This window comes from Homo sapiens, chromosome 2 (assembly GCF_000001405.40).
Source record: "Homo sapiens chromosome 2, GRCh38.p14 Primary Assembly".
Lineage (NCBI taxonomy): Eukaryota > Metazoa > Chordata > Mammalia > Primates > Hominidae > Homo > Homo sapiens.
The window spans coordinates 74608955-74632077 of NC_000002.12; the positions used below are offsets into that span (position 1 = coordinate 74608955).

At 38.5% G+C, this 23123-nt stretch overlaps 1 protein-coding gene and 2 pseudogenes across 13 annotated transcripts in view; all 3 read right to left on the reverse strand.

The window, feature by feature from the left end:
• The window catches only part of M1AP (meiosis 1 associated protein), a 90448-nt gene that overhangs the window by 51072 nt on the left and 16253 nt on the right, over positions 1–23123 (reverse strand). For all 13 annotated transcript variants that reach the window (XM_047443432.1, XM_047443431.1, XM_047443430.1 and 10 more), the window contains exon 3: positions 6010–6195. In XM_047443432.1, coding sequence (XP_047299388.1) covers positions 6010–6195 — 186 coding nt within the window. The remainder of the gene's footprint in view (positions 1–6009; positions 6196–23123) is intronic.
• TOR1BP1 (TOR1B pseudogene 1) lies at positions 9803–10431 on the reverse strand (annotated as a pseudogene).
• On the reverse strand, positions 19174–19991 carry TVP23BP2 (TVP23B pseudogene 2; annotated as a pseudogene).

Genomic DNA, 23123 nt, shown 5'->3' on the forward strand with positions numbered 1-23123 from the left:
AATTGTACACATTTACGGGTACAGTGTGATGTTTTGATACATTTATACATTGTGTAATGATCAAATCAGGGTAATTAGCATATCTATCACTTCAAACACTTCTCATTTCTTTGTGATGAGAACATTCAAAATCCTCTCTGCTATTTTGAAATATACATTACTGTTAACTATAGTCATGCTATTGTACAGTAGAACACCAGAACTTATTCCTCCTAATTGTAACTTTGCACCATTGGCCAACCTCTCCTCATGCACCCTTCCCCCCTATCCTCAGCCTCTGATAACCACTATTCAACTCTGTACTTCTATGAGATCAACGTTTTTAGATTCCACAAATGAGTGAGATCATGCAGTACTCGTCCTTCTGTGCCTGGCTTATTTCACTTAATATAATGTTCTCTAGACTCATCCATGTTGTCACAAACAACAGGCTTTTATTCTTTCTTATGAAGGAATGGTATTCCAATGTGTATAAATACCACATTTTAAAAATCCATTTATCCATTGATAGACACTCAGGTTGATTCCATATCTTGGCTACTGTGCACAGTGCTGCAATAAACCTGGGAGTGAAGATATCTCTCCAACACACTGATTTCATTTCCTTTGGGTATATACCCAGTAGTGGGATTGTTGGATTATATGGTAGCTCTGCTTTTAATTTTTTGAGGAACCTTCATATTGTTCTCCATAGTGGCTGTACTAATTTGCATTCTTACCAAAAATGTAAGGAGGGTCCCCTTCTCCATCTCCTCACCAATATTTGTTATTTTTTAAATCTTTTATATAGTAGCCATTCTAACTGGGGTGAGGTAATATTTTATTGTGGGTTTGATTTGCATTTCTCTGATTAGTGATGTTGAGCATTTTTGCACCTGCCTGTGGCCATTTGTATGTCTTCTTTTGAGAAATGTTTATTCAGCTTTCAGATTATTCATTTTTTCCCTGTTGAGTTGTTTGAGTTCCTTATATATTCCGGATATGAATCCCTTGTCAGATGCATAGTTTACAAATATTTTCTTCCATTCTGTAGGCTCTTACTTCACTCTATTTTTTTTTTTGAGACAGGGTCTCACTCTGTTGCCCAGGTTGGAGTGCAGTGGTTCAACCATGGCTCACTGCATGCAGCCTTGACCTCCTAGGCTCAAGTGATCCTTCTGCCTCAGCCTCCCATGTAGCTGAAACCACAGATGCATGCCACCATGCCTGGCTTATTTTTGTATTTTTTTTTTTTGTAGAGATGGAGGCCTCACCATGTTGACCAGACTGGTCTGGAACTCCTAGACTCAAGTGATCCTGCTGCCTTGGCCTTCCAAAGTGCTGGAATTACAGGTGTGAGCCACTGCACCTGGCCCACTTCAATCTTTTGATTGTTTCCTTTGGTGTGCAAAAGCTTTTTGGTTTGATAAAATTCCATTTGTCTATTTTTGCTTTTGTTGCCTGTGCTTTTGAGGTCTTATTAAAAAAAATCCTTGCCCAGACCAATGTCACAAATTGTTTCCCTCATTTTAAGAGTCAGGGTCTTGCTCTGTTGCCCAGGCTGGAATGCAGTGGTATGATCATAGCTCACTGCAATCTTGAATTTCTGGGCTCAAGGGATCCTCTTGCCTTAGCCTCCTGGGTAGTTGGAACTACAGGTATGCACCACCACTCTCAGCTAGTTTTTCCAAAAAGTTTTTTTCGTAGTGGCAGGGTCTCACTATGTTGTCCAGGCCAGTCTTGATCCTCAAGTGATCCTCTTACCTTGGCTCCCAAAGTGCTGGGATTACAGGCGTGAGCTACTGCACCTGGTACTTGTTCCAGATTTTAGAGGAAAAACTTTCAACTTTTCCTCATTCAGTATGAGTTAGCTGTAGGTTTGTCATATATGGTCTTCATTGTGTTGAGGTATGCTCTTTCTGAACCTATTTTGTTAAGAGTTTTTATCATGAAGTGATGTTGAATTTTATTGAATGCTCTTTCTGCATCCATGAAGATGGTTTATGTCCTTCATTCTGTTAATGTGATGTGTCATGTTTATTGATTTGCATATGTTGAACCATCCTTGCACCCCTGGGACAAATCCCTCTTGATTATGGTAATCCCTCTTGATTATCTTTTTGATGTGCTATTGGATTTGGTTTGCAAATATTTTAAGGGTTTTTGCATCTATGTTCTTCAGAGATATTGGCCTATAGTTTTCTTTTTTATTGTTGTGCCCTTGTCCGGTTTTGGTATCAGGGTAATGCTGCCCTTGTAGAATGAGTCTGGAAGAATTCTCTCCACTTCAAGTTTGTAGAGTAGTTAAGAAGAATTGCTATTAGTTCTTCTTTAAATGTTTGGTAGAATTCAGCAGTGAATCTATGAGGTCTGGGGCTTTTCTTCAACGGAAGACTTTTTATTACTGATTCAATCTCATTACTCACTGTTGGTCTGTTTAGGCTTTCTATTTTTTCATGATTCAATCTTAGCAGATTGTGTATATACAGGAATGTATCCATTTCTTTTAAGTTTTCCAATTTGTTGACATATAGTTCTTCAAAATAGTCTATAATAATCCTTTGTATTTTGTGGTATCAGTTGTAATGTCTCCTTTTTAATCTCTGATTTATTTGACTCATCTCTCTTTTTTTCTTAGTCTAGCCAAAAGTTTGTGATTTTGTTTATCCTTTCAAACAAAACAGTTCTTTTTAGTTCAAGACCAGCCTGACCAACATGGAGAAACGCCATCTCTACTAAAAATACAAAATTAGTCAGGCGTGGTGGCGCATGCCTGTAATCCCAGCTATTCGGGAAGCTGAGGCAGGAGAATTGCTTGAACACGGGAGGTGGAGGTTGCGGTGAGCCGAGATTACGCCATTGCACTCCAGCCTGGGCAACAAGAGCAAAACTCCATCTCAAAACAAACAAACAAAAAACAGACAGAAAAAAAACAACAACAAAAAAGTGTTTTTTTTTTTTTTTTTTTTTTTTTTTTTGAGACAGTGTCTCACTCTGTCGCCCAGGCAGGAGTGCAGTGGCGCGATCTCGGCTCACTGCAAGCTCCGCCTCCCAGGTTCACGCCATTCTCCTGCCTCAGCCTCCCAAGTAGCTGGGACTACAGGCACCCACCACCACGCCTGGCTAATTTTTTGTATTTTTTAGTAGAGATGGGGTTTCACCGTGTCCAGGATGGTCTCGATCGCCTGACCTCGTGATCTACCCGCCTGGGCCTCCCAAAGTGCTGGGATTACAGGTGTGAGCCACTGCGCCCGGCCACCAGTTCTTTTTTCATTGAACTTTTATGTTTTTGTTTGTTTTTAAGAGACAAGGTCTTGCTCTGTCACCCAGGCTGCAATGCAGTGGTGTGATCATAGCTCACTGCAGCCTCAAACTCCTGGGCTCAAGCAATCTTTCCACCTCGGCCTCCCAAAGTAGCTAGGACTACAGGTATGTGCACCACACCTGGGTAATTTAAAAAATTTTTTGTAGAGATGGGATCTCACTATGTTACCAAGGCTGGTCTCAAACTCCTGGCCTCAAGCAATCCTCCTGCCGTAGCTTCCCAAAGTGTTGTACTATTTTAAGTCTCTATTTCTTTTATTTTTATTCTGATCATTACTATTTTTTTTCCTTCTAGTAATTTTGGGTTTAGTCTATTCTTGTTCTTCTAGTTCCTTGAGGTGCAATGCTAGGTTGTTTATTTGATATCTTTCTTCTTTTTTGATGTAGGCGTTTATTGCTATAAACTTCCCTCTTTTGCTCTATCTCATAAGTTTTGGTATATTGTATATCCATTTTCATTTGACTCAAGATTTTAAACTTCATTTTTAATTTCTCCATTGACCCACTGGTTGTTCAGGAGCATGTGGTTTAATGGTGTTCTCTGAGCTTCCTGGATCTGTGGGTTGGTGTCTGACTTTAAGAAATTCTCAGTCATTATTATTCAAATGTTTCTTCTGTTTCTTTCTTTCTTTTCCTTCTGGTATTCCCGTTACATGTAAGTCGTACCTTTTATAGTTGTCCCACAGTTCTTGAATATTCTGCTCTGGGTTTTTTTTCCAGTTTTTTTTTCTCTTTGCTTTTTCAGATTTGAACATTTCTATTGATACATCCTCAAACTCAAAGATTCTTTCTTCAGCCATAGGTCTACAAATAAGCCCATCACAGACATTCTTCACATCTATTACAATGTTTTTGATCTCTAGCACCTTTTTTTATTTTTTCTTAGGATTTCCATCTTTCTGCTTACATTGCCCATATGTTCTTTCATTCCGTCTGCTTTATCCATTAGAGCCCTTAGCATATTAATCATAGTTGCTTTAAATTCTGTGGTCTGAGAATTCCAGTGTCTCTGCCATGTCTAATTCTGATGCTTGCTGTCTCTTCAAACTGTGTTTTTTTGTCTTTTAGTACGCTTTTCATAGTTGTACATGATGTTCCAGGCTAAAGGAACTGCTATAAGCAGGCCTTTAGTAATGTGTGGTAAGGGATAGAGGGAGGGGAAGTATGATTAGGTCTCAGTCTTTTAGTGAACTTATGCCTCTGGACTGTGAACTTTACAAGTGTTCCTCAGTTTTTTCTCTCCCTACTTAGGTGGGACAGGATGGCTAGAGTGGGCTGAAGTTGAGTATTCCTTTCTGCTACATTGAAGGATACAGCTGGCTGGAGTTTGGTATTTCCCTTCTTCCAGGTCATTTAGACTCTGATAAAATCCCAGGAGGTTAAGGGTTAGGTTCTGTTTAACTAGTTTCTCCTGAGTAACTACCTGTTAGGGTAGTTTCATTATACCTGTTAATAACAGAGTGCTCTGGTATATTTCAAAATGGTTCATTTTTCCTTCTCCCTGTCAGAGGCATGAGGGAATTTTCCCCCGATGTTTACAAGAGGACTTGGTTGAGCTCCTGGAGGTAAAACTCACAAAAGTGTGGAGTGGTATGATCATAGCTCAGTGCAACTTTGAACTCTTGGGCTCAAGCCATCTTCCTGCCCCAGCCTCTCAAGTAGCTAGGACTATAGGTGCACACCACCAAGCCTGGCTAATCTTTATTTTCTGTGGAGATGGAGTCTTGCTATGCTGTCCAGGCTGCTCTTGAACTCCTGGCCTCAAGGTGATCTTCCTGCCTTGGCCTCTCAAAGTGCTGGGATTACAGGTGTGAGCCACAATGCTCATCCTCTCCTAGAATTTTAGACATGTCTACACCTAGCCTGTAGCAATGTCAATGACAGTTTCCTACTCTAGCACTGGTTCCTGTGGAGGTTTCTGTTCCAGTATGTTGTGATTCTCTGTATTTGCCTGGTTGTCTCTCCCATTTTGGATGCAACAGTTTGCCCTGTGACCTCACTTCTCAGGGATCTAAAAAATATTGTTGATTTTTTAGTTTGTTAAGCTTTTTACTAGTTGTTAGGATGGAGTGGCAACTTCCAAGCTCCTTACATGAAGAATTGGAAACCAGCAATCCCACACGATTATTTTTTGTCCTGTCTGTTTGATCCCTGAGGTTACAAGAGACCGAAACTGTCTTAACTCACACTTACTCATGTACCCAATGGAGTATCCAGCCATGCCCTTATTTATATTTTTAAGATTGGCTCAGTCTGGCACTCTTGTATTTGCACACTTGCTAATCCCGAGAAAAGTTCCTCAATTTGATGCCAAGATTTGATTAAAAACAACTGTAAATTCCTAAGAGTACCAAGGTAAATATAAATACAGCTACCAATGTAGGCAGTTTAACATTTTCTTTACAACTTCCAAAAATCCAGAGGCAGATGGCATATTCAGATTTTATTTTTATTTCAGTTTTTCCTCATAATTCACTTCAGTCTGTATTTTTAGAGCTCTTCTCTATAACTATCTCTACATTAAGAACTGTACAGGTTATAGGAAGAAGAGAAACATGTCCTCTGCCTGTAGGGAGCTGAAAATCTTGCTTTGAATATTACATCTAGAGTGAATGAAAGATAGAACAATGTAAAGATGATAAACAATGACCTATATGGACTGAAATCGGAACACAGCTTGGAGTCCTAAAGGCCAGCATCACTTACCTCCAGGGAGGTATAGGTCAGAGCTGCCCTTGTGGTCACATGTCTGCTGTATTGTTTGAATTGCTGGAGCCCATCCTCTACTGCCAGCCGCAGAGAAGCACCTTGTGATCTGAAACACCCTTCTCTCTGTAACATGCGGAGTTCTGAGATGCAGGTCTGCAACCTAGCAAAGTTCCCTTTCACTTGCTGCAGAGAAAAACGAATCAAAGACACAAGTCTTTAGGGACCAGGTTTCAGATTAATTGGCAGTCTAAATTTATTATAAATAATTCCTCAGAAGTTCCTTCCCTTCCTGAAAATTTATTTGACCAACATCTACTGAATTCCTATTGTGTTCTAGCCACTGCACCAAAATCTTCCCTACACTAGCAGAAGGAAAATTTGCAGCCATAAAGGTTTTGATTACTTAGAGTTACCAGAAACATGAAAGGAAGTGTTTTAACTCATTCACTCACACAAAGGGAAATCCAGTTGTGTGACTGCTTAGTTTTACTTTGGGGTGACCTGCAAACTGGAGGCCAGACAGTGTTCACCTTAGACATCATCTTCATTTCTTAGTCAGTCTAGGCACCAAAAGCTTCTCTACTTAAAAATGAGGTTTTCCCAGAAGTGAGAATTTTGATGTGGTTGATCACTTCAGAATTCATACGTCCTATCTAATACGCTCTTTAGGATAACTTCAGTAAAGAAGAGATATTTGGGTTAGTCTGCAGTCAGCTTAAGGAGCCAACATGTTAAACCGAGACAAGCGACCTTTTGGTTCTCCTCATCTACCTTTATAAAAACTTGCTCTTAGGAGTCAACTAATTTAATCTGATACTAGGTCAATGTTACTTCTCCTAAGGATATATGCATTTTGATAAATGTGGACTGAAGATTTGTGACATCATTTGAAGGGATTCCATGCATCAATAGCAGGTGGGGGGTGGGGAAGAATTATATTTTGGGATGGGGACACCTTCCTGACCATAGAGCAGAACTGAGTGATATCTGTAATGCACATAAAATCCATGAGCATGAGCTGTAAACCTGCCAGAATACAAAGACTGCTTAAGTCAACACCTTCCTGGGCTTAGCTCCACAGTTGATATATTCTTCTCTCCCCAAGTCTTTGGGGTGAAAACACAAGGAATTGCATATAATTCTTACACAAAGAAAACTTGTAATCTAGAAAGGAAAATAAGAAAACTATCCGAGAAAGAAATTAGAAGAAATCACACCACAGGTGTAGCCTAGTAGGCTTTAAGCATTTCTTCTCATGTACCCACTAAAAGAATCTGAGAAACAATGTACCCCCTTATGCATTTTTAAGTGAACATCTATATTTTAAAATTCCAACTTTATAAGTGGTTGCTAACGATGTAACTTCCTGCATATTTTAAATATCAACATTTAAAAATAAAACTATAATATAACTCTTCAAAACAGTCCAATTGAATCTAAATGCCATGGTGATTTGATACTCACCATTATTCAGTGTTAAAAGTACATGAACAAGCTCTTTTTTTCCCAAGAGATAGAAATTTAGATTGTTCCTTTTTCTCCTTGAACTCATATTTCCATTTCACTTTCCCTGAGAGTTTTATCATAATGTAAAAGAATTTTTATGCTTGGCAACCTTTTATTGATCATCCCATCATACTTCTCTGCATCTAAAACAGCTATATTTTGCAAGAGTTCTAAGTTTCCTATGAGCATAGGCTCTAAGGGGCACTCTAGATTGAGTTATTATTAGAATTATCATTCATATACAATTTATTAAAACAACATGTATATACAAATTTTGAGAAATAATTATTGGCATTAAGCATAGCTTTAATTGGAAATGTTTCTCTTAATAATTGGAAATATTCCTCTTAATGGCATGGACAAGCTGGGCTCTTCTTTCAATTAGCTCAGGTTTGTGTGAATAAATAAAATAATTACTGATCGAATGACACAACATTCAGTATCAATTTTTATTCCTATTTTATTTATTTGGTGGCCAACATGGGTTGAGTTTATTGCATCATTATAAACAGAGAAAAATCTTGTTTTCTCTTGACCAGATACCCAAAAGGCTATAAAAGAAATGTAACTTAACTCCAATTTGAGAATATGTACTAAAAATTTTAAGCCTCACCTTGGTATTTTAAAAGACTAAATGTGATACCCTACAAGGCATTTTGATGTCACAAATTCATTCTATTACATTTTATATACAAAAATGCTACACCATTGTTCTAATTATGTGTCTGCAGTTGTACTACAACTATAGGACAGACACAGAATGATTCAAAATAGCTGGAATCTAAGCCTTACTTCTCAGTGATCAGGGCAGTCCAGCCTGGTGATGTCATATAGGGTGTCATTAGATGACACCCAGAACCAGCCACAACTTCGGACTAAGCTTGTTTGTGTCTACAATTGTGATGACATATTACTATGGATTTAACAATAAAAATTCCAAGCTAACGCAGGAACAGAAAACCAAATACTGCATGTTCTGACTTATAAGTGCGAGCTAAATGATGAGAACACATGGACACATAAAAAGGGACAACACACACTGGGGCCTGTCAGAGGGTGGAGTGTGGGAGGAGGGAGAGGATCAGAAAAAATAACTAATGGGTAGTAGGCTTAATACCTGGATGATGAAATAATCTGTACAACAAACCCCCATGACACAAGTTTACTTATGTACCTGCACATGCACCCTTGAACTTAAAATAAAAGTTAAAAAAATTCATACCATTTGTTTTAAGAGTGTCTGGGAAAAAATAAGCAATTATTCCATTTTGTGCCCTTCTCATGTTTTAAAATAAGCAATGTTCTATATTTCTATTATCGAAGGTTCAGAAGTAAAAACATTATAATAAATATACAAATCCTTGAAAACTCTTAGCATTTCTAGTGTTTAATACTCCCACTTCTTTGGCAATGCCGAATCTGCAAACTGACTGCTTAGTCTGTGCACATGTCAACTATGGAGAATGTGCATGTCCTGTGAATTTCAAATGGTTCTCTGGAGTAAAGCAAGAGATTGACCCATATTTTAAAGGTAACAGCAAACGTTTAACCTTAGGAACCAAGGACTCAAATTTGAAGCTACAGTCTTATTCTGATTAGCTTCTATGATGATATGGTTGGGGGGAATTTAGTAGCAAGTGAAGGTCAGGAGAAGATGTGGTACAAGGAAGGCAAGTGGGTAAGTGATATCAAGTGAGAGATGGGTGAAGGAATTCCATGATCACAGATGTAATCAGCAGCCACAGCAATGGACCTGTCTGCCCTGCTCTGCAGAGACCTCAGATGGAGCTCCCACCCCACATGCAGACAGTTCACCCCAGGCCAAGAGTGCTCAGCGTGCAGGGCCATGTCCTCCCACCAGACACCACCTGTACCTGTCAAGTGCCACCAATTTAAACTGAAAATACAAGTCAGTGAACCCTCTCTGTGTGAAGAAAAAGAAACAGCAGAAGAATGTTTTTAGCAGGTGAAAACCTAATGCTCTTCAGACTGTAGCAGGGCCCTTGAACCCCTTCAGTCACAACAGTAGCTTCTGAGGTGTGGGTGTTGTGGGTCAGAAACAATCCTCGATCCTCAGGCCTCCCTTGCACAGCTGTTTCCAGGCACTTCTGTCAAAGTCAGCAACAATAAGTGTGAAGGGGATTTTATAGTTTATCTTTAACTGCAATTAACAGCTGGATTGATGTCATGTTGCAAAATGACAAGTGCACTTGACAGATTAGTGTCTTTTCAAAAACCAATTCTTAGAAACTTCTATATCCCGAAAGTTCACAGGTGCAAATGTGCCAAACCCCAAAGAAGTCTTCAAAATGCCTCTGAAAGGCAAGGTCCCTCGTGTGCTGAGCCTCCCAAATCCCTCTTATCCCATCTGGTTAAGAGCTCAGTGGAAATCTAGCTGTCATTGTTCAGTCTTACAGCTCTTGACTGAGTAGATTTTCTTGTCTTTGGGGAAAAGCGTCATTTCCTCTGCCACTCTTGTGACAATGTCTTCATCTATAGCAGAACCATGGGCCCTCATCTCTGCCTTCATGCATATTTTCACGTCTGTACTTCATCGGCAGGAAAAAGGTAAAGTAATTGATTAAGGTTTTGTTGATCAGTCCATTGCACCACAGACCACTGTGCTTATTATTGAAGACTATCAGACGGCACAGGTTCCAGGTCCTTCAGCTAAATGTCTTCCCTCCTTCCTCCTACCCACCAAAAGTCAAGAGCTATCTCAGTTATGAGGTCCCTGTCTATGTTTCTGGGAAAGATGAAGATGGCTTTTTGGTAAAAACCTTTTTGTAGTGGTCTAGAAACAGACTGATTGTGTTGACAACCCTGGGGGTGGAATTTATGCATCTTGTCAAATATGAAAATAGCTGGAATATGCACTCACATTACCATGAATCCACTTCTGTAACTGGTCCTAGACCAACCATAAAAGATGAAATGGGATGGGGAGGCTCAAAGGATGCTCTGAGGGAGCAGAAGCACTATGCTGCTCTTCATGCTCTAAAAGACTTAAGATCAGAGCTCCCTGGGGAAGAACTCTAGGAAACTGCACTCTCACCTCCATTCAGTGGGTAAGTTTTTCCAAAACTTTATCTATACAAAGTTGAAATTGGCAGAGAGATAGGTGCTAAAATGCAAGGAAGTTTTTTCCTAACTCAAATGACATGTTAAATGTGACTTTTTTAAAGGTATAAGAGACACAAGATACATAAATATTTATCATTCACCGTTAACTAATCCATAGTGTTCATCTCACTGTGAAGCAAAATCTCAACTTAATATTACCAGACATATTGAAGAATAAGGAACTAGATTAAGACTTGCACAGTGCCCGAGACCAATGCCTTGTACTGACGGAATGAATGAAGGAGTTGACCTAGGTGACATCTCATGAAAAGCATTTATTCTGATACATTCTTGGAACAAAAAGACACCCAGGCAACAAGCTCTCAACCTCACAATGTAAAAAGGTTGTGACCAGGAAACTCCCCCAGATACATCCTTATTTATTTTACTATATTTCTAGAGATTTACGAAAAAATGTGAAAAATAAGAAAATTATTCCTGATTTTGGCAGTCTTCTCTATCTTACAGTTTGTGTGGCAAACACTCACTTTCACTTCCTTGTTCAGTTAAGTTTCTGTTTCTTATTTCAGTCCCCACCTAATAGTGGGAATATTAACCTTGACAAGGACGACATTCATTTAAATGAGAATGAACCCTCCTAGATAATGTAATACAAATTAAATGTGGAAGGAATATCTGAAAAGGAGAAACAGTGTCAATGTTCAGTTATTTGAGGCTTTCTTTGAAGAAAGCAATGCCAAGGACTCGAAAGATGAGAGGAACAAAGGGAATAAAAGGTGTTTAGAAGAAAAGAAATCCTCTAATCTACATTGCAACATGCAGAGGCAAGGCTGAGGCTGCATCATAGGTGGAGAGCATTAAATGACCCCATGCCCAAACAACCTGCTGAACAACCCCCACCTAACACCAAATGCTCTGTGGGAATGTTGAGTGCATTCATTCATTGGAGAATGTGACTACCATGTAAACTGGGAGTTGGGAAATTTGGGTTCAAGTGTGTCTTAACTCAGTGGAGCCTGGGGCTACTGCAATGCAAAGAAAAGAGAAGCAGAGGCCAGAGTTAGTGCAGTTTGCCCAGACCAGTCCAAATGGCCTGTGAACAAGATAATGCTGGGTTCTCCTGCCTGGTACAGTTTTTTATCTTTTGCTCATGAGGGAAGTACAGAGTTAGTACAAATAGGTGGAGAGTTACTCTTCAGGCCTTTTGAGTGAAGACGTTCAGCCACAATTTGGCTGACAAAATTCTTGCCTATGCCAGCTCAGCCACGTAAGGAAAGAATTAGTTGTTTCTAGGAATTTCTGTTGCTTCTGAAGCCAGTCAGTGCCTTGAGAATCACTTCCGCGGCAACATGCTGTCCAAACAGCTTCTCCTTCAAATCCAGCTTGAGGGCTCTAGGAGTCAGCTCCAGAATAGAGAAACACACCTTAAAAATGCGCCAGAAAGGCCGGGCGCGGTGGCTCACGCCTGCAATCACTTTGGGAGGCCGAGGCAGGCGGATCACGAGGTCAGGAGATAGAGACCATCCTGGCTAACATGGTGAAACCCCGTCTCTACTAAAAATAAAAAAAAAAAAAATTAGCCAGGCGTAGTGGCGGGCGCCTGTAGTCCCACCTACTCGGGAGGCTGAGGCAGGAGAATGGCATGAACCCGGGAGGTGGAGGTTGCAGTGAGCAGAGATCGCGCCACTGCACTCCAGCCTGGGCGACAGAGCGAGGCTCCGTCTCAAAAAAAACCCCAAAAAACAAAAAAGCACCAGAAAAGCAGCACTTTCCCAGCTGGCAAAATGAGAGGCACAGATTAACAACTGATCCAGCCGGGCCTCTGTCAAATATGGCAGCCACTGGCCGCCTGTGGTTATTATCTGAGACGTGGCTACTCTAACTGAAGGTTTGTTGTCCATGTAAAATACACATAAGACTTTGAAGAGTAGTAAAAAAGATAATATTGGCCGGGCGCGGTGGCTCACGCCTGTAATCCTAGCACTTTGGGAGGCCGAGGTGGGCGGATCATGAGGTCAGGAGATCGAGACCATCCTGGCTAACAAGGTGAAACCCCGTCTCTACAAAAAATAATAATAATAAAAAAATTAGCCGGGCATGGTGGCGGGTGCCTGTAGTCCCAGCTACTCGGGAGGCTGAGGCAGGAGAATGGCGTAAACCCGGGAGGCAGAGCTTGCAGTGAGCCGAGATCGCGCTACTGCACTCCAGCCTGGGAAACAGAGCGAGACTCCGTCTCAAAAAACAAACAAACATAAAAAAGTTTAATATTGGTTGGGGGCGGTGGCTCAAGCCTGTAATCCTGGCACTTTGGGAGGCTGAGGTGGGTGGATCACTTGAGGTCAGGAGTTCGAGACCAGCCTGGCCAACATGGTGAAACCCCACATCTACTAAAAAAAAAAAAAAAAATACAAAAATGAGCCGGGTGTGGTGGTGCACACCTGTAATCCCAGCTACTCGGGAGACTGAGGCATAAGAATCACTTAGACCTGGGAGGCAGAGGATGCAGTGAGCTGAGATCATGCCACTGCACTCCAGCCTGGGCCACACAGTGGGACTCCATCTCAAAATTAAAAAAAAAGACAATATAAAAAATTCAATAAATTTTTATATTGATTACATACTGAAATGATATTTTGGATATGTCAGGACAAATAAAATATTAAAATTTGTTTTGCCTGTTTATTTTTTATTTTATTTTTTGAGACAGAGTTTTGCTCTTGTTGCCCAGGCTGGAGTGCAGTGGCACGATCTTGGCTCACTGCAACCCCGCCTCCCGAGTTCAAGCGATTATCCTGCCTCAGCCTCCTGAGTAGCTGGGATTATAGGTGGCTGCCACCATGCCTGGCTTTTTTTGTATTTTTAGTAGAGACGGGGTTTCGCCATGTTGGGCAGGCTGGTCTCAAATTCCTGACAGGTGATCTGCCCGCCTTGGCCTCCCAAAGTGTTGGGATTACAGGCGTGAGCCACCGCGCCCGGCCATTGCCTGCTTTTTTTTTTTTTTTTTTTTCTATTTTTAAAGGTGGCTAATAGAAAAATTTGTATTATATGTGTGGCTCACATTACATATCTAGTAAATGGTGCTGATTTAAAGGATATAATTCAAGGAAGAGAGAGGGTAACTGATCACAGAGAAATGGTCTGATATGCAAGAAGGAAGGGTAAGCAAATAAATTGGTAAATATATGAGTAAAATGAAATAAATATTAGCTGTATAAAACAATAGCAGTAATGTCTAATTTGGGGGTAAAATACAGGGGCAAAAATATGCACGATGAGAGGGAGATGATCGGAGTTAAAGCATTCTAAGGTATTGTTTAGTGAAGGGTAGAGATACCAATTAATTTAGGGCAACCCCTAAAAGAAAATAAATAGATTATACACTTTAAAAAAAAATAGAGTGGAAAAAAAAAAAACAAACCCAAAATCAGATAGTAAATGGGAGAAGCAAGCAAAGAAAAGGCAGGACAAATAGTAAACACCAAGTAAGATAATCAGAATAATCTTAATAATAATAAGGTCAGTAATTACAATAAATACAAACTTACTTCCTAAAATATACCAGCTAAAAAACAAATTATTGGACTAGATTGAAAAATTCCACTGTATGTCATCTCTAATATGCATACCTAAAAACAGTAATAATTGAGAGTAAAATAATGTTTAAGGGCTGGGTGCAGTGGCTCACGCCTGTAATCCCAGCACTATGGGAGGCCGAGGTGGACAGACTGCTTGAGCTCAAGAGTTCAAGACCAGCCTGTGCAACATAGTGAAACCCCGTCTCTAAAAAAAATATAAAAATTAGCCAGGCATGGTGACCCGTGCCTGTAGTTCCAGCTACTTGGGACTTGAGGTGGGAGAATGGCTTGAGCCCAGGAGGTGGAGGTTACAGTAAGCTGAGATTGTGCCACTGTACTCTAGACTGAGTAACAGAGCCAGACTCTGTCTATAAAAAAAAAAAAAAAGAGAGAGAGAGAGTTTGAGGCATTGAGACATACCCTCAGACATTTAAATTTTATCAGGTGGGCTCCACGCACTGATATATTTTAAAACTTCCTCAGGCAAATCTAATGTGCAGCTAAGGTTGAAACTGGTTTAACTTATGTTTTATTTAATTAAACTAATTAATTTTTTTTGAGACAGGGTCTCGCTCTGTCACCCAGGCTGGAGTACAGTGGCGTGATCATGATTCACTGCAGCCTCAAACTCCCAGGCTCAAGCGATTCTCTCTCCTTAGCCTCTGGAGTAGCTGGGACTACAGGCATGAACCACCACACCTGGCTAATTTTTAAAATTTTAGTAGAGACAAGGTCTTGCTATGTTGCCCAGGCTGGTCTCGAACTCATGCGCTCAAGCGATCCTCCCAACTTGCCTCCCGAAGTGTTGGGATTATAGGCGTGAGCCACCACACCTGGCCTACAATATACTGTTAATTAAAAAAAATTAGATAATGGAATCAGCAGGCATAGTATTATCTCATTTATGTAAAATTTAAGTCTTTTCTCTGTGTATCATCTATCTATAGAGTTGTCTTGAAATAGGCTGACACTCATATCATTGTTGGAGGGATTGGTCACAAAGGCATAAGCAGGCTAGTGCTAGATCAGCATAAGCCAGCATTAAAGTAAAGGTGAAGAGGATTTCAGAGGCTGTAAAGCTGTGGCACATTCTAGTTGGTTATCAGAAAGTCAAGTTAGAGAAATAAGGGATAAAAAATTGGTAATAATTGGGTAAACTCCAGGAATCAGTAGACATATATTATTGACCTAGAACACTTGAGTATGGCTAATATTTGTTGGACATCATGTAAATGCCTTGGCTTGACAAAATCTTCAAGAATTCTATTTCTGGGCTTTCATACATGAACTTTTTTGGGTTATCTTATAGATAGATAATATGGCCCTAGGCAGTTAGGATAACTTAGATTGATGTTTCATTGGAGGTCAGGTCAAGAAACCAGAATGCAGTTTAGGGAGGGGATTAAAAATATTTAAAAAGAAAATCAGAATTCCCTTTATAAAAAATCAAATCTTACAAAGACTCCCTATATATAAATTGGTATTTTATCAGCATAAATGTATTTTTAATATTTATGTGTTTTGAATACATACATTCATAGGGTTTGAAATTCAAAAGGATATGTAATTCTATCATTTTTCTTCCCTAAATAGAAGTGATGGCAATACTTTTCTGTATCTTGCTTTTGTTGATTATTGTATTTGAGCAATCATTTCACATCATTATAGAGTATTCCATTAATGGATGAACCGTGATTTTATGTAACCAATCCCCTATTTACAGACATTCAGTTTGTTTCCAATCTTTTGTTACTGCAAACAGTGCTAAAATGAATAATCTTGTACTTAAGTTATTTTTGTACATGTGTAAATATATATGTAGGATAAGGTCCTAGAAGTGAATTTGCTACTTTAAAAGATATGTAAATTGTGATACTGTCACCAAATTGCCCTCTATAATGTCGATTTATACACTGACAAATGGCATATAAGCATGCTTATTTCTTCAAATTCTCATGAAAATGTGTCACAGAAAATTTTTGCCAATCATATAGGTGGAAAGTGACATCTCTGCATATTTGGGTTTCTCTTACTATGAATGAGGTTGATGTATTTTCATGTCTCAATGTCATTTATATTTTCTTTTCTGAAAACTGACTGTGTATATCCATCCTCATTTTCTACTGAGTTATTGAATGTTTTTTTCTTACTGAGTTGTAGGAGTTTTCTATGTATGTAGAAAATTAACTCTACATGATATGAGAAGCAAATATTTTTCCTCATAGCTATTTATCTTTAGAATTTGCATGTGTGTTCTTTTCCAAGCATACATTTTCTGTTTTTATATATTATTAATCTTTTATTTTTAGATTTTTTGGTTTTATATTATGCTTAGAAAAGCCATTCCTATTATTTTCTCCCCATGGTCTGTGTATTAATTATTAATTTATTGCCTCTCAACTCCAAATTCATCCTTCAGTACATGCTCTGTGATAAATTCCTTTAAGCATTTCTCTTTTACAGTGAGCACAATGTTAAGTTTTCTTAGTAAAGGGCACTGGAGGGACATAAAGAGGCTCTCCTATTGTTACATGCAGCATACTGTGGGTCAGCTGTGGGGTATAGGGACACCTAATGGTGACCCATCCATGCATTCAGAATTCATAGTCTTTCAGTGACTTCATAGCCCTGCCTGGCCTAGTAATCGCCTTTCTGCAGCCCTTTCAACATGGACACCATATGATTCAGGCCTCCTGCCTGTACTAATGCCTAATTCCCTTTGCTTACTTGTTCCTCCCCGTGAGAAGTTTGTCTCCTGTGGCCATCTCAATGCTACTGCTCTTCCAACATGGAGAATACGTATTCTGGGCATCCTGCCTACACTCTCTCTGCATGCCTGTAAGCCCAGCCACCACTGTAGCTCACCTATCACTGGAGAGTAGCTTCCTGCTTTCCCAGGAACTGCAGACCAACTTTAGCCTTGACAAACTAGTGAACTCTGCCATCCAGTGGGTTACAAATACACATTCTGCAATTTGGTGTGAACCCCAGCCTCGGGAAGGGAGTCCCCCTTTCAAGTTTGACTTTCCTTAGGATCTCTCCCTTAGCCCTAGGGTACCATATAAATTCCCTTATATCTTATAGGTAATCTATTATCATAGTTTAATATGTTAAGCTATATTTCAGTTTTTTTTTTTTTTTTTTTTGAGATAGGATCTTGCTTTGTCACCCAGGCTAGAATGCAGTAGTGATGCAATCATAGCTCATGGCACTGGGCTCAAGGGATCCCCTCGCCTCAGCCACCTGAGTAGCTAGGATTACAGTTGCAGGCCACCATGTCTGGCTAATTTTTTATTTTTAAATTTTTTGTAGAGATGAGGTCTCACTATGTTGCTCAGGCTGGTTGTGAACACCTGGCCTCAAGCAATCCTCCCTCCTTGGCCTCCCAAAGTGCTAGGATTACAGGCATGAACGAACACGCCCAGCCTGTATTAAAACTTTTTACACAAACTTTCCTTGTTTAAATCACTGTGTGGTTTGTTTCCTGATTGTACTCAGACTAATACAATCTGTTCTAGTACTTGTATAGTTTATTTTTATACTTTGCTCCATCAGGAATCTATGCTGGTAGATGCTGTGAGTATGGATCTAGCTTTATTTTTCCCATATGGCTATCCAGCTGATCCAAACATTTATTAATAGCCTTTTTCCCAACTCATTTTAAATGCTATCTTTATTACACAATAAGTTCCCACATATATTTTTTAAAATGAACTTTAAATTGTATTCCATTACAATCTGTCTTTTCAATCTCCAGTATCACATCGTTTTGAATATCTGTTTAATATCTGATAGGAATAGTCCCTGGATATTCTTTCTTTTAAAATTTGAACTTTACTAGCAGAATGTCTAGTTCTCCTGTTGGAAATTTTATAATTTTTGGGAATTGCATTACATTTGTACATTAGGGATAACTGACATCTGAGTCTTCCCAAAAACGAATGGCTTTTTATTTGTTCAAGTCTCTTTTTGTGTTTCTCAATAGTATTGAACAATTTTTTAATTGGCAAAAGGAAAACTATATATATTTATGACATATAACATTGTTATTAATGTAAATATATCAATAGTATTTTAAGTCATATAAATCTTGCATATTTATTGTTCATTTCATTCATAAGTATTTGATCATTTTGGTTATTGTGATGAAAAATTTTCTTCCATTATAACTTTTAACTTGTTGCTCTTAGACATATAAAGAGTACAAATATCTGTGTTGATTTTGCTGTGGATTATTTTGTTGTTTCAAATAATTTCCTAGTGGATTCTCTTGGGCTTTCTGGATAATCAAATAATCCGCAAATAACAATTTAATCTCCTCTTTTCTCATTTCATACCCTAATTTCTTTTTCTTGTATCACTACATCAGTGAAAATATCTAGAATACTTTTATTTTTATTTTTATTGTTTTAGTGGTAAAAGATAGATTTTATTAGCTCAAGGTCCACTGAAGAGCTTTCAGGAAGTTCTAAAGAAAAATCTGGCCATCTTTTCTGTAAAATAAATAGAACAGCAGGAATCTCTGGGTATCCCTTAAACATAAACTATGATGATTCCATTCATATTACCTGGGCTGTAAGTAAATGACTTCTTGCAAATAAAAATAACATTTTAGAAACTAGTTAATACCACTAGCCCTAATTTGGTTTTCACTTGCTTGCATTTGTCTAAGAAATTTCTCCATGAAGTGCATATTAAAATCTAACAATTATTTCTCATTTATACATAAGTCAAATCACTCACTCTTACCATGAAAGCAAAACTTACTTCTGAAAATACTCTACAGAAATAATATATAAACACATAGAGCTTTGAGATAAACTAAGAACATCCTCCTATGTTCTATGGATCAAAATGCAAAGGTCTCCATTTTATATATATAAATAAACTCTTTCATTAATTTGGGATATATTGATATTACATGACCATGCGCATACCTATGGAACATGTACATACACTACAGAACAAATCTTGACAATGTTTCTACTGCCAACATACTTTCCATTCCCAACTGCTGGAAAGGAAATAAAAACAATACGAAAACTACTTTTCCTTTTTATAAATAGTTTTTAAGTGGAAAAACAAAGCCAATCCTCCTCATTGAGACATCAAATAAGCTCCAAAAGGTTCAGAGTCAAGAATCTGTTCAGTTGTTCCCCAATGTAACAAAGCACATAAGCTTTCTCTATTCAGGAAGCTTCTCCGATCATCTCCAGTGTTTCGTCTTAAAAACTGCTTTACAAGATACGAGGTAGCCATGTTGGTTAAATTATTTCTGCTGCTTACCTTACACCTGATGTAACCATATAGGTTGGCATCTGCTAACACCATACCCATGATAACCACTGCTAACCAGTTTACTCTGAAGGAGAACAAGGCACTAAAGGCAAATATCACCCAAAGCACTGCACAGACTGTAAGTCCCAATCAAAAGATTCTTGATTCAGCTTCTGACACAGTTTTATTATCTTGAGAGGAAGACTTTCTAGATTCAAACACCCAATGGTTCTTTCCATCTTCATCAATGTGACTCCACCAACATAGGCCAACCATTAGTCTACCTGTGATATTCTTTGCTGCCCAAAAGTCACATGACAACAACAAGATAATCGTCATCATACAGGCAATAAAGCTGCTGCTGAGTAACTCACAGAGAAGATAGACAATGATTGCACTGACTTGAAAGAATAAGTGGAAAACGATACCACTGAATATCTGATTTTTGGATTTTTTTGGTCTATTAGTTGTCTCCTCTTCTGCATCAATTAGTGAAACATCTGCAGTGTCATCATTACTATCCTGCTGCTTCATGGCCCAGAATACTTTCAAATAATGGTGATGATACTAAACTTCCTTATCTTGCACGGGAATGTCTTTAGTGTTTTTCCATTAAGAACAATACTAACTCTTGAATTGAAAAAGAAATGTATTATGCTAAAGAATAGCTATCTGTTTCTGTTTTATTAGAGTTTTTACAAAACAAAATTGGATGTTGAATTTTATCAAATGCTTTTTCAGAAGTTACAGAGATGAACATGATCATAAGATGTTGCTTCTCCTTAGATAGGTTAACATAGTAAATTATATTAATAGATTTTCTAATATTAAAGCATATTTCAATTTTTGGCATATAATTCTTTTAATGTGACACTGGATTATATTGCCAATACAGGTAAACCATCCCTAATCTAAAAGTCTGAATCTGAAATGTTCCAAAATCCAAAACTTTTTGAGGGCCAACATGAGGCCATAAGTGGAAAACCGCACATCTGACCTCATGTGATGGGTTGCAGTCAAAACTTTGTTTCATGAACAAAATTATTTTAAAAATGTTGTATAGGCTGGGCGCGGTGGCTCATGCCTGTAATCCCAGCACTTTGGGAGGCCCAAGTGGGTGGATCATGAGGTCAGGAGTTTGAGACCAGCCTGGCCAAGATGGTGAAACCCCATCTCTACCAGAAAATACAAAAATTAGCTGGGTGCGGTGGCGGGCACCTGTAATCCCAGAAACTCGGGAGACTGAGGCAGGAGAATCGCTTGAACCTGGGAGGTGGAGATTGCAGTGAGCTGAGAACATGCCACTGCACTCTAGCCCGGGCGGCAGAGCAAGATTCTGTCTCAAAAAAAAAAAATGTATAAAATTACCTTCAGATGGTGTATATAAGGTATATACGAAACCAGTGAATTTCATGTTTGGACTTGGGTCCCATCCCTAAGTCATTATGTACATGCAAATATTCCAAAATTCAAAAAAATCCAAAGTCTGAAACACTTCTGGTCTAAAGTATTTTGGATAAGAGATTCACAACTTTTTTTTTTTTTTTTTTAAGACAAGGCCTTGCTCTGTTGCCTAGGCTGGAGTGCAGTGGCATAATCATGACTTACTGCAACTTCAACCTCTGGGGCTCAGGTGATCCTCCTGCCTTATCCTCCTGAGTAGCTGAGACTACAGCTATGTACCACCATGTCTTTTAAAAAACTTTTTTGTAGAGGTGAGGTCTCACTATGTTGCCCAGGCTGGTCTTGAACTCCTGGGCTTATGTGATCCTCCTTCCTTGGTCTCCCAAAGTGCTGGAATTATAGGCATGAGCCACCTCACCAGGCTGGTATATAGGTATTCAAAACTGATATATTTTTAATAGGCTCCCCTTCCAACAAGCTTTCTATGCTAAATATCTTCAATGCACCTTAAAAAAATTTTTATTTTATTTTAGGTTCTGGGATACATGTGCAGAACGTGCAGGTTTGTTACATAGGTAAACGTGTGCCATGGTGGTTTGCTGTACCTATCAACCCATCACCTAGGTATTAAGCCCCACATGCATTAGCTATTGGTCCTGATGCTCTCCCTCCTCCCGCCTCCTCAACGGGCCCCAGTGTGTGTTGTTCCCCTCACTGTGTCCATGTGTTCTCATTGTTCAGCTCCCACTTATGAGTGAGAACATGCCGTCTTTGGTTTTCTGTTCCTGTGTTAGTTTGCTGAGTATGATGGCTTCCAGCTTCCTCCATGTCCCTGCAAAGGACATGATCTCATTCCTTTTTATGGCTGCATAGTATTCCATGGTGTGTATGTACCACATTTTTTTTTAATCCAGCCTATCACTGATGGGCACTTGGGTTGGTTCCAAGTTTTTGCTATTGTGAATAGTGCTGCAGTAAACACATGTGTGCATGTATCTTTATAACAGAATGATTTATATTCATTTGGGTATATACCTAGTAATGGGATTGCTGGGTCAAAGGGTATTTCTCAGTGTGCCTTCTTGATCACTCCGTACTCTACTCTGTTTTTGCCCTAGCATTAAAGTGCCATTGTGCCATTCTTAGTTTCATTTAATGCATTTTGCTTCAAATTCAACCTTGTCTGCAATTGATCGTAATTCTCTTTGTTTGGTTTGCCTTTGCCTAGTATACATTTGCCCACCCTTTTATTTTCAACCTTTCTGAATCATTTTGTTGTAGCTGTGTCTCTTGAAAACAACAGATTTGCTTTGTGATCAAGTCTGTCTGTAAGTTCTAAAAAGCATCTGATATGACAGATATGTTTGTTTTTAGTTATATTATTTTATGGTATACTCTTTATTTTTACAGCTTTTAGAAAATCACTTTACTGTATATTTTATTTTTATTTTTTCTGTATGTTTGTCTTGTCATGATTAGGAAGGCCTGTATTTCTGCTTTAGTGATTATCTTTATAACTCTGTGTAATTCCCTTAAGTTAATCTTTAGCAGTATCTATCAATTCACCACTATAGAAATGACAAAATTAGTGTATTTCCTCTTATTACTCTTACGCTCCCTTTATTGCAGCACTAACTTATAGTTTATTATATTATCTTTCTTGGGGTTTACCTTTATGCTGTTTAATATATTATATCTCTATTACTTGTCACCTTGAAGTGATTCCATTTGAATGCCAGCTATTAGAGAAAATGAGTATTATAGCTAAATTAGAATACTCTGAGTCCTAATATCTCATTGTAGATTATATATGATTTAAATAAGTTTTTTATTATAAAAAAGTAAAATAATTGGGAAGATCTTCACAGTAAGGGCATTCTTCTGAAACCCTGTTTTGAGGGGAAATGAATCATTCTGGTTGAAATTATTTATATTAACGGCACAATGGATATAAAAGGAATTTTAATATTAATTATGAATCCCTTCTCATGACTCCTTATAAAACATTCAGAATTATTTGATTATACTCAAAAATTAAATATGAGAGGATATATTGAGGTATTCATTCTGAGTAAGATTTCCCACATGGTATCTTTCTCCATTTATATTTTAAGCTGCTTCTGCAGATGGAAAATGTCAAATATTTATATAGGTCAGTGACAATGGATTTAAGGTCATGTTTTTCCGTAAGCAAAGATTGGATTGTTCTATACGTAAGGTAATAGTATTGTTTCTGCAATTTTCTTAAGCTTTTAATTAGGGTTG